Source organism: Homo sapiens, chromosome 3 (assembly GCF_000001405.40).
Source record: "Homo sapiens chromosome 3, GRCh38.p14 Primary Assembly".
NCBI lineage: Eukaryota > Metazoa > Chordata > Mammalia > Primates > Hominidae > Homo > Homo sapiens.
Genome location: NC_000003.12, coordinates 101,930,360 through 101,947,388, shown reverse-complemented (window position 1 = coordinate 101,947,388; position 17,029 = coordinate 101,930,360). Strand labels below are relative to the sequence as shown.

The 17,029-nt window shown below is 38.4% G+C and overlaps 1 long non-coding RNA gene across 1 annotated transcript in view, besides 1 other annotated feature; it reads right to left on the bottom strand.

Annotated features, from left to right (window-relative positions):
- RDUR (RIG-I dependent antiviral response regulator RNA) overlaps window positions 1–6,530 on the bottom strand; it is a 57,068-nt gene extending 50,538 nt beyond the window's left edge. The window contains exon 1 of the long non-coding RNA NR_026934.1: window positions 6,364–6,530. This is a non-coding gene — a long non-coding RNA (RIG-I dependent antiviral response regulator RNA). The remainder of the gene's footprint in view (window positions 1–6,363) is intronic.
- Window positions 10,353–10,472: an enhancer, noted in NCBI's record as "active region_20186". NCBI's record gives its function as "activates an Ori minimal core promoter by ATAC-STARR-seq in GM12878 lymphoblastoid cells {active_cell/tissue: GM12878}" and the evidence as "EXISTENCE:reporter gene assay evidence [ECO:0000049][PMID:35858748]".

The following is a 17,029-nucleotide window of genomic DNA, read 5'->3' as shown; positions in this document are numbered from 1 at the left end:
ATTTGCAATTAGTAATAGTACCAGCCTCATTCAGATTGTGCTGCTATTACACAGGATTGTACATGGAAAGTGCTTAGCAGAATGTTTTCTATATTTATATACACAAGCAACCAGTAAATACCAAAGAGTAGTAATGAATATATACGAAAATATTGTAAATTCTGAAAAAAAAAAAAAGTTCAAGCAAGATAGTTCGGAACTATATTCAGTGAAGTATGTTCTTTTGGAAGAGATCCATAAGAAAACCATCTTTTGAAAGTTTAAGTTATAAAACTTCCCACGGCCCCATAGTATTGTGAAACAATGGTCAGGCTCAATTGTTCTAGTTCAGCATATTCTTGTATCATGATTTTAAACTTTTGGCCCATAATCCCTCTAAAAGATTTTTTAAAAACCAATGTAACTCTTTGCATATTTAAGTTACTTTTTTATTATAGGATTTTTTACTTTATTTCTTATTATTAGGAAAGAGGAATGTATACATTTCATGAAATGAATGTGGTCTAATGGGAATAAATCATCATAATATAATTTGATGAGGCCAGGCACGGTGGCTCACACCTGTAATCCCAGCACTGTGGGAGGCTGAGGCGGGCAGATCACCTGAGGTAAGGAGTTCAAGACCAGCCTGGCCAACATGGTGAAACCCCGTCTCTACAAAAATGCAAAAAAAAATTAGCCAGGCATGATGGTGGGTGTCTGTAATCCCAGCTACTTGGGAGGCTGAGGCAGGAGAATCGCTTGAACCCAGGAGGCGGAGGTTGCAGTGAGCTGAGATTGCTGCATTGCACTCCAGCCTGGGTGACAGAGCAAGACTTCATATAAAAAAAAAAATGATGAAATAGGTTTTAACTATCTTATTAAGTAATGTGTAACTACTAATCTTTAAACACATCTCAGAAACAGCCATTGCCGTTTTAAGAAGTTAGTTGGAAATTTAGTATTATACATTTGACTAGTTCTTCACAGTTTTCAAAGAAAACTTTATACTCTTATCTCTTCTGATAAGCTTGATCTCTGAACTATCTTAGGCAGGCATACTACTACTCTTGAATCTTGGTGGCCTTTATAGAGACATGGAAGGGAAGATGGCAAAAATTCAGCCAAAATTAAGTTGTCCTGAAGCTGACTCTCATTTCTCATGAGAACAACTCTAGGAAGTTGTAGGAAAAGGCTTCAATATTTTCCCATATGTTTTGACTTTCTGTATTTAACTCAGCCAACCACTGAGAGAGCTCTTTTCTTTGAGGGAACTTCTTTCAGTTCTTAAGAAAGTAGAAGGATGATAATTTCCCACATGGTTGATGAACTGAAAATACTATCAGTGCATTTATAGCTTTCTTCAACAGGAGAGAGAGAAAAGGGCAGAGAGAGACAAAGATAACTGCTAAAAAGGAAAAGGGCAATTTTTATTTTCCATAAGATCATTGGTTCTTGGGTTGTAGGGGAAATATTGACAGAATCTGAAACCTAATTGATTGTTATCAAAAGATTGTGCAGATGGCTCAAAAACTGTTAGGCAACATTCACACCCACCTATTTTCCTGAACTAATATCCTGGAAAAAGCTGAAATTTACCTCTTCAAAATCAATGAAGGGAAAAGATCACAGAATTATTTAGCTAGAAACATTTATTAAATATCTAGTTCATTATTTTATTTTTAGATGCCTAGGAAATGTGAAAACATAAGAATTATCTTTAAACATATCTTTTAAAATCTATTTATTATCATTGTGAATAAATAAAAACAAGTGATATATAACGCAGAAAGTAAATGGGAAATAAAAAGAGTCTCCTCTGATGCACTCTTCATACTAACGTACAAATTAAGGATATTTTTTCTACAGCCAGGTTGCAAAGTGTTGGTACAGCAGAAACTCATTGTTACAAAAATGTGAGGCACATTATTTACCATAAGAAGTTAACTCTGATGTGTTAGGATGTTGTCATCCAACTAAATGAAATTATGACATTCTAGAATGTCTATGTGTAGTTTAATTACTTCAGAGCCCAAGTTAATGAAACCAAAGCCTTGGTTCCATAAATTTAAACCCCATATTGTTCCGTTATTTGAGCCCTGTTCTGTTATATGGCTAAAGCCTGCTCCCCTGATCTTGACCATGCTTTTTAAAGATGTATATAAGGGTTACAGAAATAATCCAGTAAGAAAGTACAGGTCATCCTACAGAAACTCATTCACCACAGCCAGAAAATCACCTCAAAGTACATATGCTGCTAATGGAAGGACATACTAAAGGATAAGATCACAAAATAGTAGGCTTAGGAGGGATCTTTGAGATCATCTAGTAGGAGACTTCAGTTTACACATAAAAAAAAGCTTAGAATTTCAGAAATTATATAATCTGTCCAAGGTAAGTGGGTGGCAGAGCTTGAAATAAAACTTGATTATTCTGAGCAACATATTCAACTGTAAAATTAATATAACATTCCTTGGCCTACTCATCTCATAGGGTGGTTGTGAAGTTTAAAATGAAGTGATATCCATGAATATAATATTTTAAAGCCATCTAAACATTGCAATTAAACATAAGCCAGTATTATTTAGGAAGCAGTATGGTATATTGTAAAGAAAACCTGAATTTAAGTCCTAGTTTAACCACGTATAGGATGACTTGGCCAAGTCACAAAATATCTCTGAGCCTGAGTGTCTTTATCTTCAAAAAAGAGAAAATAATGTACTATTTCACCAACCTTACGTGGTTGTAAAGATCAATGAGGCACATAATACATGGTAAAAGTCATAATAAGCTGAAAAGTGCTATGGCAATGAAACCCAAACATAACTAATGCTTCATGTGGCTCAATTACACAGAGTGTTATTAAAGAAAAAGAAAAAAAAAAGCAGTCCAGAAAAAAAAAAAAAAAACATGCATGCTGACACACATTGTTATTGTCTGGTGTTTGATTTTTTTCTGTTTTAGCCATCCTAATGGATGAGAGTGTTATAGTGGTTTTGATTTGCATTTCCTTAATGTCTAACAATGTTAAGTGTCTTTTCATGTCCTGAGTCACCATTCGTAACTCTTTGGAGAAACGTCTATGCAATTTATCTCCCAATTTTAAATTGAATTATTTGTCTTTTATTGTTAATTGTAAAAGTTCTTTATATATTCTGAATACAAATTCCTTATTAGAGATATGCTTTCTAAATATTTTCTCTCATTCCATTTGTTGTCTTTTTACATTCTTGATGTTATTTGAAGCACAAAACTTTAAATTTTGATGACATCCCACTTACCTTTTTTTCTTCTGTAGAAGAAAAAATTTTGTGCTCATTCAAATATATATGCCCAATACAGAGAAGTTTAAAGTTAGTCCAGGAACAAGAGGCTACCTGCCCTAAAGCTGTCCTAGCCAAACTGAATCTTGACTGGACATAAAGTACAGATCAGAACCCTGCCCTACAGGAATTCATTGATTTCTATGCTTTTCCACCATCCCACCCCTCCACTCCCACCAAACTCCATCCCTAGTTTTTGTCAAAGTTTCTTTTGGAAGATTCCAGTATTATCTCAACTGAACTAAAAGTAAGCAAGGCTCCAACTCTGCCAAGGTAGGTTGGAAAATCAGTATGCAGTATGCTGTCAATAATCAGATGTCTTTGTGGTATACCTTCAATTAAAAAGCTCAGAAAGTCCAGTATAGAAAGTATGGACCCAGAATGGGCAGAACTGGAGAGACTCATGACTATTCTTCACCTCTTGGATAAACACCAAAATGGCAACAAGAAGTGAGAGCTAAAAGTTCCAAGTCAGAAAAGCACAAAAAGTAGATACAAGAACCCAAAAAGACATAGTAGTCAGTGCATATTTTGCAAAGGAGCAGATTTTTCTGCATGTCTCAGAGGGTATTAAAGGAGTGTTATCCACCAATATTTCTTTTCTAAAGTAGCTGCAGGTTAGCATCATATCCAGCTACAGTGAGATTAGGGACATCTTAGCATTCTGACTACCATAAAATGTAACTAGACTAAACTAGAAGGTTTTAGTTCCAATTCCCTAATTATAGAAGAGTATCTGATTGATCCAGGCCAATCAAGTTATCACCTCTGCTCCAATCACAGTGGACCACATCATATAGTATAAACATGACTCTTACAGTAAGAAAACCTGAAAACATATCTACGAGAATAGGTTATGGTAATATCACTACCTGGCAGGAAGAGTGCTAGTCTATCAGGTTACATAATCTCTGGGCAATTCCACAGAGACTTTACAGTTGGGTTTCTTTTAATGAGTCTGTCTCATCTGTCTCATTAAGATCAATGGTGTAGTTATTAATAAAAACATGGCCATGGCCACACCTGTAGTCCCTGCTACTCAGGAGAAAGGCAGGATTGTTTAAGCCCAGGAGTTCGAGGCCAGCCTGGGCAACAGAGACAGACCACATCTAAAATAAATAAATAAATAAATAAATAAAATAAAAAAGTTGGGATTTTATCTGTTAATGTAAAAATAAAATACAATTTAAAAAAAAAACAGTGAGTTTTTTTTAAACTTTTGCATGGACACACACCCAATTCCCACAGATCAGTTAAATTATCACTGCAGTTTATGAGACCAGATACTTTTTGTTACAAATACATACTTATGCTTAATTCTCTAAACACAGTGAATTCTTCCATAACACAAAATAAGCCCAAATTCTGAGGTTTTTTTAATGTTGTAAAGTTATACTGCATTTAACTTTTTTATGTGAATAGTTTCAAATTACATTTTCAACTGGGAGCATGGATCAGTGGTTAAAAACAGGAAGTTTGATGAGCAAACTTGAAACCAGTGAAAATACAGAAGATAATGAGGGAAATTCAGAAAAATCTGAAATCGGCGACAGATGTGACAGTTATGGAGCAGTTCCTAAGTTTTCCCACATGAACCTGGTAGTGGAAAGCAAGATTGCAATATCCTGCCAAACATGCCAAACAAGCAGTAAATCAGCAGAAGGCAATCATAGGCTGTTCTCACATGCTGATTGAAAGTGATTTTCTTAGTATTTTGGATATTTAATAAAAGTTTTGTGACTCTCGTTAATCCTGGAATAATAATTGTATGAGACCACGATGCTAGCAGAATTATTTAAAAACCAATCATGCAAATTTTAACAAAGAGCACCAGAATTCAATGAAAAGCCCAGTTTAAGAGGCCAAAAAGAAATTTCTTGAAGTTTTCCTCAAAGATAATTTCTGAATCTTCTTAGAAAGAGAAGCCTATATACTTGTAGAAACTAAAGTGAAATAGAGAAAGGAAAGCTTTAAAGGCATCATTTCAAATAATTCATTTTTAGAGTTCAAAAAGCATCAACAACTGTTTAGGAGAATAAAGTTAACCAGATTTTTTTTATCTTGCATTTAAATTAAAACATCAATATTAATTTAACCTTTTTCTTGGTCTTTGCTTGCTAAACTTATAATGGTGTATTTGATGATAAAATGATGAGTAAACAAATTTTCCCTGAGTTATGGGTATATATTCAATCTCAGACACACAAAGCTGTTGGAGGGATGACGATCACAGCCCAAGCCCTCACAAAACCTGAATGCCAAGCAACTTAAGCAGAATTCACCAAAACCACACCATCTCAGAGATTGCCTTCTGATTTTCAAAGTGTGTCTAATGGAGCAGTAAATGCTCTATGTTATGCTTAAAAATGTGTTTTGAATACTATTCTTTTTAGACAAGTTTATAATGAAATGAAACTTTGTCAACCATATAGATGTGTGCTGTCTTAACCAGAAGAAACGACTGGTCAGGGTTAAACTGCTATTTTTCATCTTAAAGAACTTTTTTAATCGGACTTAATTTGGCTACTCAAAGGCCTTCTTGGATGATATCCAAGTTCTTACTTATGATTTAAGTTTGTGAAATAAGTGGCTTATGTAAGGGTAAGATATGACTACAAACCGTCCAAGATTTGTGTTAGTTCGACTTAACAATGGTGTGAAAGCAACATGCGTTCAGTAGAAACCATACTTCAATGATTGCATACCTATGCAATCATTCTGTTTTTCACTTTCAGTGCAGTAGTCAATAAAGTACATGTAATATTCAATACTTTATTATAAAATAGGCTTTGTGTTAGATTATTTTGCCCAACTGTAGGCTAATGTAAGTGTTCAGAGCATGAGTAAGGTAGGCCAGGCTAATCGATAATGTTCAGTCAGTTAGGTGTATTAAATGCATTTTGAACTCATGGTATTTCAAGTTTGCTATGGGTTTATCGGGACTTAACTCCTTCATAAGTTGAGGCACATCTGTATTATTAAATCCTAGTCAAGCCAAGCCAACACCATCAGTCCCAGCAACACTGAGTGACCTGCCCCAGGCATTTTCTGAGGTGCTTACCTTACTCTTATATCCCACCTTGAAAGAATCAGACTCTGAGAAGTCTTGTCACAAACCTGTGGTCCATCAATTAACAAGCTTTTATTGAGCACCATTCTGTACTCAGCACTTACATTCACGAAACCTTAAACTCCTCTGTGTACTTAGTCTGTTTTATCTCTGCTTCTGTCAGAATGAGTGCCGTTACATGAGGGATCCCAGGATCCCACCAGCTTGCCTGACATATCGGGTTTCAGGGCGCCGCTGTGATGACTTACAGCCCAGTCTTTTCAGTACATTGTCATTTCCTCTCTTTACCACATCTCATTCTTTCCAGGGCATTTCCTCTATTTTCAAATACAGGGCAGTTTGCCAACATATCTTCTGTTTTGGAATAGTAATCATTACACTATGCCGAGAATTTAAAAAGCATTAGAATGGAGACTGCTTTTAAATCCCCCTCACTCTGTCAGCATAATCCTAGGTATTGCTGCTTCTCTTGGGACACGTACTTATTTCTATTTCTTACTTTTCTGACCGAATTCCAATAATTACCTCATAACCCAAGGAAGCTGCCCTTTTTTCTTATTATTCCTCTTATCTTTTCTCTTTCTCTTCTCATAAACAGTGGTTCTGTTGTCTATAAGACTTTCACTTTCAAGCATAGGTCTGTATATCAAAGTTAAACTATTTTAATTGAACCAAAAGGTTTTCAGGGCCTGCAAGACTAGCTACTTAAAAATATAGATATATTAATTAGACACAGGCTCAAAACCTTATTGTATCATGAAGGGAGGAATGGGTAAGTGTGAACAAGTAAATAAATAACCACTAAAATGAGAACTAAGGTGAACATGAGAGGTGCAAAGTCTTTTGGGGGCCAAAGCAGAGAGAAATCCCATATGTTTAAAGAATCAGGGAAAGCATCATGGTAGAAATAGATTTCAAAGATTGAGACTGCATCGTTGTCAATCCTAGACCCAGGAGGAAAGTTAATAGAATAGAAAAGTAAGGACATGTTGAAGGAACAGTGAATGGTACCACTTGGCCAAAATAGACCTCACATGTAAGAAAGTCATGGCACATATGTCTCTAAGATAACTTGGTCCACATGTTTTCCTACTTCATTTTCTTGGAAATGATGAATAAGTGAAGTCTTCTGAGCAGAAGGGTGTCCTAATCAGAGCACACATGAGGAAGAAAAACCAACCAGCAGTGAATGCGGTGAATCCAAATGTCTGAAGCAGGAGCAAGAGCCATGTCGGGAGCCGCAACAATTGTCCAGACAAGAAGCAACACAGTCCTGAACTGAGCAGGCCACAACGGAAGGAAGAAAGGAGAAAAAAAACGTGGAATGAGCATCTGCATTTCAGGAACTGCATGAGGTCCTTGATGCATATTATTCCATTTAATGGAAAAGAAAAGTGAGTATGAGAGGCATAACCACGATTAGGGAAAAGAATGAGATCAGTATTTATTTAGGACTCCACATAAAATGTGCAGCTCTCATCCAATCCTCTCAATTGGCTAGGTAGGGAATGTTATATTCCCTGCTTTATACATAAGGATATCAAGACTCTGGTGAGCTTAACTAACTGGCTCAAGACCAAAAGGGTAGTAAGTAGCAAAACCATGATCTGAACTCAGACTTATCTGACAGCAAAATAGATGCTCTTCCCACCCTGTGTACCACAAAGCCTATAGAATCTTCCTTACTCCATAATTTAGTAGGCACAGGGTGTGAGAAGTAAGGACGAATAAAAAATTACTTGTGAGTTGTGAAAGATGATTCATTAATAGTGGTGTCATTTATAAAAACAAAATAGAGACAATCAGTTGGAGTTTGGAGTTTGATGAACATAAGTTAATGGGCTTCATTTTAGATACACTGAGTTTAAAATCCTGGCTGGTTACCTAAGTAAGAAAGTCTTAACAGCAATTGGAAATTGCTAGATTTTAGAATCATCAGGAGAAAGATTTTGAGATGAAGGGAAAAAAGATTGAAGAAATTCATGTGTAAAGCAATGTGAGTAGATAAGAAGTCACATGAGGCAAAGAATGTGGAGAAGATTTTATTTTATTTATGGAGCAGTAGAAAGAAAAAGCAGCTAGTGAAGGAGGTGGAAGAGAAGTTTCCAGAAAGATAAAAGAACCAGCAGGCTATGGTATCACAGAGGCTATAGAAGGAGAACATTCAACAAACTGAAATTTCTGCAGAGACAACAGGGAGAATGAGGACTGAGACAAGTCCATTAGATTTGTTGGATATGAAACTAAACTCTCAGTGATTTTCCAGAAGGTGGTTTCATAGAGGGGTAAAGGTAGAAACCATATTACAAGGGGTTAAGAAGTGAATGTATAAGCAGGAAGTGAAAGCAGAATTTGTATTCTTTTAGAAGAAGTGTGGTAATAAACGGAAGAAAGATAAGGCAGTAACCTGCTACAGCAGCAGGGTCAGAGGGGGGTTATTTTAGGATACAGAGGGCTGGCCATATTTGTGGCAGAGGAGGAGAGATTGGAGATTGAAGATGGAAGAAAGATAGGGCTTAAAGGATGGAGCAAAACTGAGAGGAGGTGAGCAGTAATAGAATTAAGAGCAGTGTTCTTGGCAAGGAAAAAAGCAAGTTACCTTGTGCTGAGGTAGAAAAAAGGAAAAGAGGGTAACCCTTCAAGAGATATTGAGAGAATTCACGTGGACTGTCCTCATTCTCAGTAAAACATAAAATGAATAGCCAATATCAGGAAGAGAAAAAGATTTTCTCCAAAAGACTGGAGCTCATATTCTAAAGGGAAGAAAAATGTTTATGTTGGTCACAAATAGAAATTCAGTTTTGCAACATTATCAAACTTCAACAATTTCTCAGGGCTACTCTCTATAGCATGTATTTCCTTTCCCAGAATCAAAGCTGTTGTTCTCTAAAAGTACACGTATTTCCCTTGGACTGCATGGTTATAATTTGGACAAGGAAGATAGCCCTTTTGGTTGTCAGAAATAAAGCAACTCTCTGGACTCTTAACTGTGTTCTTTTGAGAAGAAAGTTCAAGATGTTCACTTAGTAATGTTTGCCAAAGCAAGCACTGTTCTCAATGTTTTTTATCAAAGCCTATCGATTATATGATTTTAATTTGTCTACAAGTAACCAATACCATCTTTTAGCAAAACATTCTATTTCATGTGGATTAGAAACAGAAATTTTAAAATAGCCTCAGTTACTGGAGCTGTTTTCCTAGTCCTTTCCATTGTCACCTTTAATCACTAAGATTATAATTATTATATAATTATCATTATCATTCATTGATCTGATACTCCTTGTGGGATATACAGTGTACATGAATATTATTTAATCTCATAACCTTATAGTGTAAATATAATTATTGTCATTCCCACTTTGCAAATAAATAAATAAGATTAGGTCACATAACTTCTCCAGGATCTCAGAGCTAGTAATGGTAGAACCAGTACCAGTCCTAGTCTGATTTAAAAGCCTGTGCCTCTAAAGACTAAGCTGTACCACCTCACAATTCAGTTGGATATTTTGTTACATACAGTTTTTTCTTGTTCTCTAATTTCTTTGGTTACTTAAGAAGTCTCCTTTCTGTCCCCCTCCTCACCATGACAGTATAAATTCTTTGAAATCAGATACAAAGTCTAGTATCCTTGAAACAGTCTAGAATATTGTACATACTCAAAAAATGTAAATGTAAATTGAAATAAGAGTAAAATCAACCCAGAATCTTGCGCCATTTTTCATCACATCTACTTTGTTTCCACTACACTTCCTATGCTCACCACCCCTCTCATTGGTTTCAAGAGAACATGCAAGTTTGAGAATGTAACTATATCGTGAAAAATAACACCATAAAGTGGCTTCTATAAATAAGACCGTTCTTGTCAACTGTGTAAATGCAGTGAAGATGAATATAGATTTTTCTCATCAACAATTACACAGGAAGATTGGAGCTGAAAATTCCCTGATTCCTTCCCCTTAGAGATGATGTTCCCTGGTTCACTCAACAGCTGTTCATTGAGTGTCTTCTACTTGCCTCACCCAGTTCCTGCCTTCTGAGTTCTCAGACAAGTAGGGGAGACAAACAGGTGTTATACAATTACAGAAGAGCCTGGTAATGCCGGAACAGAAGTAGTAAGGATGGCTGAACGACAGCCTGACACTTTTTCATCATTAATATATGTATTTCAACCTAACTTCCCAATATGGACTCATTTCCTTTTTGCATCAACATGAAGCCTCAAATGAAACCACACAGTGTATTTCATTTCAAAATGAAACTCATGACACAGCTAAGAAGTGAGTCATCCTCAGAGACCATGAAATTTCAATCCCAGTGGTTGAAAGACTGGCTGGGTCTTTTTCTTTCTTTCTTTTTTTTTTTTTTTTTTTTTGAGACAGAGTTTTGCTCTTGTTGCCCAGGCTGGAGTGCAATGACACGATCTTGGCTCACCGCAACCTCCACCTCCTGGGTTCAAGCAATTTTCCTGCCTCAGCCTCCTGAGTAGATGGGATTACAGGCAAGTGCCACCACGCCCAGCTAATTTTGTATTTTTAGTAGAGACAGGGTTTTTCCGTGTTGGTCAGGCTGGTCTCAAACTCCCGACCTCAGGTGATGCACCCGACTCGGCCTCCCAAAGTGCTGGGATTACAGGCGTGAGCCACCGTGCCCAGCCTGGCTGGGTCTTTTCTATCATTAAGCTGCATTATGTATTTCTCGGGCTGAACTGTTTTTAACCATTCATTTTAATTTAGCTGATAATTGTCAGAATGGCTCCTCTTTTTACTATAATGATAAAACCTGCAACTCTCCACAGTCACTAAAAACAGTTTGGAACAAAGGGCAAAGAAAGTGGAGAAATTATTTTCCTCACTGACCTAGATAACAGAGGAAATTAAGCGATTTGATCACAATTTTTCCACAGTGATTAGCCTCACAGCCTAACCTGTATTAATTACTATTTTACTCTATTGTGTGAGCTATAGAATTTTGTAAGTTAACAAAAGGCTACATCTTTTCACTTTGGAATGCAAAAAAAAAATAGAGCTAGGAAATCTTGGAGTGAAGCATAGATGCAGACCAATAACACATTTCAGTGTTTGTGAAGATGCCATAAAGGTAGCTTCCTCTGCCATGTGGGCTACATCTTTTCACTTTGGAATGCAAAAAAAAAATAGAGCTAGGAAATCTTGGAGTGAAGCATAGATGCAGACCAATAACACATTTCAGTGTTTGTGAAGATGCCATAAAGGTAGCTTCCTCTGCCATGTGGGTAATGCCATAGCTGCTTGTCTGTTTCCCGTCCTTCTCTTGAAAAAAAAAAAGCTTCAGTAATTTCTCTGGGTTAGAACACAAGTTAGTGTGAACCAATCACACAGTAAGCACCATTAGACTTCATCAGCCCCACCCTGACACATCAAAGCACACACACATAGCACAAAAGGAGAGAGAGAAATTATATCTCACTAATGCAGAAACAAATTCACCGTCACCTCAACTTTTAGCTAATTTTTTAAAAGCATTTCTGTGTGTTCCAACACACCAAATCTTTTATGTGATCTTGCATTATCTCAGCTTCCATACTCCTTCCCTTCACTGCTATTGTCACTTCTCAAAGTTGTGAAGACACATTTCTACTTCAGGCCTTCCAAGCTAAGGTTGTGTAAATAATGCACAGACCAGTGAGTCTGAATTTTTAAAACCTTCGCAGAGGCCAGCCCTGAGGCTGCAGATCACATGCAAACCACGTCATGGCTTCCAGTGGCACCAACATGCATCAAGACAAGAAATTTAGTTCATGTAGTGCTCACTGGAAAATCCTAATGAATCACCAACTATATGGCAAGCAAGGAAATTGACAGCCTGTACTCAACCTCTTTATTCTCTGTAACACAGAAGTGACGATAAGCCAGATAGAAGTGCTTAGATTTCGGCCGGGCGCGGTGGCTCACGCCTGTAATCCCAGCACTTTGGGAGGCCGAGGCGGGCGGATCACGAGGTCAGGAGATCGAGACCATCCCGGCTAAAACGGTGAAACCCCGTCTCTACTAAAAATACAAAAAATTAGCCGGGCGTAGTGGCGGGCGCCTGTAGTCCCAGCTACTTGGGAGGCTGAGGCAGGAGAATGGCGTGAACCCGGGAGGCGGAGCTTGCAGTGAGCCGAGATCCCGCCACTGCACTCCAGCCTGGGCGACAGAGCGAGACTCCGTCTCAAAAAAAAAAAAAAAAAAAAAAAAAAAAAGAAGTGCTTAGATTTCACAACTTCCGATAGTTTGGTTTTGGTCAAAATCAAGGTCCTTCCTAAATACTTATCAGTTGGGAAGATGGGTGGGACACATAACTACTTCTAGGGTGAACATCATATTTTCTTTTTTTTTTTTTTTGAGACGGAGTTTCACTCTTGTTGCCCAGGCTGGAACGCAGTGGCACAATCTTGGCTCTCCACAACCTCCACCTCCCAGGTTCAAGCGATTCTCCTGCCTCGGCCTCCCGATTAGCTGGGATTACAGGCATGTGTCGCCACGCCTGGCTAATTTTGTATTTTTAGTAGAGACAGGGTTTTTCCATGTTGGTCAGGCTGGTCTCGAACTCCTGACCTCAGGTGATCCACCCACCTCGGCCTCCCGAAGTGCTGGGATTACAGGCATAAACCACCACTCCTGGCCCGGTGAACATCATCTTCTCTCGACCTTACCAATTTTTTTTTCCTCCTTAACCTAAAATGAGAGACCCTACCAATTTGAGTGTACAACTAGAACAAATCTTAATCTTTCTTTCTCCCTTTGAAATGGAGTCATGTCTTACTCCAGGACTAGGTGGGTTAGCCCATAAAGTGAAAATTTTACGCAATTCAAATTACCCCTGAAAACCCCATAAGTCCCCCATAGAGTGCAATGTCTTCTGTTGGTGATCTTATCAGTTCCTCTAATAGTTCTCTAAGGCTTTTGATTAATTTTCAATTCCTACATTGAGCATGTCAACAAATCCTTCACCACCCACTTAACAAGTCCCTTGAAAATCTGTTTCACATCTTTATTGTTGACCAGGAAAACCCCTAACATCATTCATACAATCGTTCCATGGAATTTTTTTTTTTTTTTTTTTGAGCTGGAGTCTCGCTCTGTCGCCCAGGCTGGAGTGCAGTGGCATAATCTCAGCTCACTGCAACGTCTGCCTCCCGGGTTTGGGTGATTCTCCTGCCTCAGCCTCCCGAGTGGCTGGGATTACAGGTGCCCACCACCATGCCCAGCTAATTCTTGTGTTTTTAGTGGAGATGGGGTTTCACCATGTTGGCCAGGCTGGTCTCGAACTCCTGACCTCAAGTGATCCGCCTTCCTCGGCCTCCCAAAGTACTGGGATTACAGGCATGAGCCACCACGCCCAGCCCGTTCCATAGATTTTTACTTAAGACATGACCATTTGGGGCTTGACTAAATCTTTTGCCTGCTAGAATGAACAAATAATTACACCACTACTTCTCCTAACCACTGAGCCCATCTCTGTCTTTCCATCTCTACCACTGTCTCTCTGTCCCTGCCTCATTTCTTTCCTTCCCTTCTCTTTTTTTCTGCAAAGCTCAATTCCCATAAACTGCTCATAAAATTATCTGTATAGAGGGAATATTCTCAAAAAGCATTTATAAACCCATTTACCTGATTTTCTTTCATCATATTTGTCATTTTTTGTTGCTCTCACTTATTCATTCATTCATTCATCCATTCCACAAATAGTTGACACTAGCTACATACCAGACACCATTCCAGGCATTGGGGATATATCAGTATTCATTTTCAGTGGGGTAGACAGTAAAGAGATATACACCTGGTAAACAGTCAGATAAACAGTCAGACAGGAGTGAGTGTTAAGATGGGGATTGAGGACAGGGTGGTCAGGCCTCTGAAAAAGTGACATTTGAGCAAAGACCTAAGTAAGCCAGGAGATGAGCTATGTTAAACATCTGGGGAGCAGTGTTCATGACAGAGGGAGCAGCAAGTGTAGAGGCCTTCACAAGACAGTGGGATTCGAGCATTCCAGAAACAGCAAGGGAACTTTCAGTATCGATGAGCTGAGAGCCCAAAGGGGAATAACATGAGATGGGTTTGAGAGCTGGCCAGAGTCCAGGAGGACTTTTGGGTTTTATTCGTGAACATTAAGCAAAGCCCTGGGATCTGGGTTCTTTTGAATAGGGAGGTTGCATGATCTAACTGTGGCATTTTTAGAAGGATTTCTCCAGCTGTTGTGTGGGGAATAGTGTGGGAGTGTGCTGTAGAGAAGGAAAGATGGGAGACTGAGGAGCCTTCTCCAATCCTGTAGCATTGTCCAGTGTCTCAAATTAGTGTTTTCCAGAATTTCACTTTTCTGTCAGGGAAAGCAATTGAGAAAATATTTCTAGTTAAGTGATTTTGTTAACATGCCATACAGCTTTCACAGAGTCCTTCCTTCCCTCTCTGTAAGTCTGATTCTCTACCAGGAAACCAGCTCTGAAGCTGGTCCTGAAGGCGAGGCACCCTGGTGCCCAGACGCCACCTGGGCCCACGTGACTGCAGTGAATGCTGCCCTCTTTCCAGTGGAGGAGTCCAGCTGCTCCCTTTCTTTTTACATGGCAGAGCTTCTGGAAGCTTTATGAAAAAAATAACAATAGCTCAAAATCAAAGCTTCAATGTGTTCTTTGACCCCCCAAAAGAGCTAAATGTTTCTAATAAAGTAATGTGTATTTAAAATGGACAGTAAGTTTTCCACTGAAATATATTGAATATGCATACAATAATTCTCAAATACCAAGAGAAAAATATTACCTTTGAAAATTTACTTCTTGAGCTTGGAAGACCTTCAGAAAAATCAATTCTGAATAATCTACTGATGTTTAAGAATCTGAATGTTTTCACTATGACACACACCTGTGTGCACACACATACACACACACACACACAACCTTCCTTTCATAGTCTCATAATGAGGAAGGTGAGAAGCAAGCCTCCTTCTCTTGAGAAGCAATGACTTTTTGTAAGTGGGTATGTATTTACAACAAAGGGCCTGTTACTTCAGATTTGTAAAAACTAGTTCAATATTTCATTTTAATCCCTTTATTAAACACCAGTCTAGATAGAATTTTTAGTGCCCTGAAAAGTCTGTCAATGTAACAGACTGAGTTTCAAATCTGTAAGAAGTGATTTTTTAACTTTACCTTTAACTTATTAAAAATCAAATAATGAGGGTTTTTGTTTTGTTGTGCTTTGTTTTGAGATACAGACTTGCTGTGTCGCCTAGGCTGGAGTGCAATGGCATGATCATAGCTCACTGCAGCCTCGAGCTCCTGGTCTCAAGCGATCCTCCCACCTCAGCCTCCTGAGTAGCTGAGATTACAGGCATGTGCCACTATGCCTGACTAATTTTAGTATTTTTTCTAGAGACAGGGTTTTGTCATGTTGTCTGAGCTGGTGTCAAACTCCTAGCCTCAAGCAATCCTCCCGCCTCGGTCTCCCAAAGTGTTGGAATTAGAGGTGTGAGCCACTGTGCCCAGCCAAATAATGAGATTTGTTTTAATAAAAAAAAAAAGATAAAAGTACCTTTTGTAAAATATATAGTGCAAATTATCATCACTAAAATCCTCATTTCTTTTACATATGTATATGTGTGTGTACATGTATATATACATGTATGCACATTTTTATATAATTTTTTATCAAGTATGTCCAGAGTATTTTTGTTTAAACCTTCTGGCAACCCTATCGCTTAGCTCCACTCAATGCCACCACACCCCTATTCTAGTAATTGGTGCTGCTCAACTGCCTGAGTGCATCTACTGCCTGCTGGGGTCATGCCAAGAAAAGTAGATGTGATTCTTTAGGTCATCTGGATCCATTGAAGGTTTCAGAGAAGAAGAAGAATATAATTTTTCAATATTCACTTATTCAAGCATATGTTGTGCATGAACTATGCATTAGCACTGTGCTAAGCAATGGAGATACAACCACAAATAAGACAGAGCGCCTATGCCCTTATAGAGAAATGTACCTGCCACATGGAAAACAGGGAAGCTGTAGGTAGCCGAGTCCCAAGGCAAAAAGACTGTAGGAGCCTTTGTCATAGTCAAAGAAGAAGATATCATAAAGCTAAAGAAACCCCAGGGACATGGCAGAATTAACTGGATTTTGTCACCCATTTAACTGTCAAGGTTTCTTTCTTTGCCAAATCTCAGTTAATTCTCTCCAGAATTTTCCCTATAGAAGTTTATAACACTTTAGAACTCTGAGTAATCCAAGTTCAGAGACAGCTCTACAGAGTGCCCTGCTTTGTTTGCATATAAATAAATAGAATACATATTATTGATGAGTTTACTTAAGGATTTGAGTACCTGGATGTTATGGTACTAAAAAAGAGGAAACATGGGCCAGGCGCAGTGGCTCCCACCTGTAATCCCAGCACTTTGGGAGGCCAAGGCAGGTGGATCACCTGAGGTCGGAAGTTCGAGACCAGCCTGGCCAACATGGAGAAACCCCGTCTCTACTAAAAATACAAAAAAATTAGCCAGGTGTGGCGGCGCATGCCTGTAATCCCAGCTACTCAGGAGGCTGAGACGAGAATCGCTTGAACCCGGGAGGCGGAGGTTGTGGTGAACCAAGATTATGCCACTGCACTCCAGCCTGAGCAACAAGAGCGAAATTCTGTCTGAAAAAAA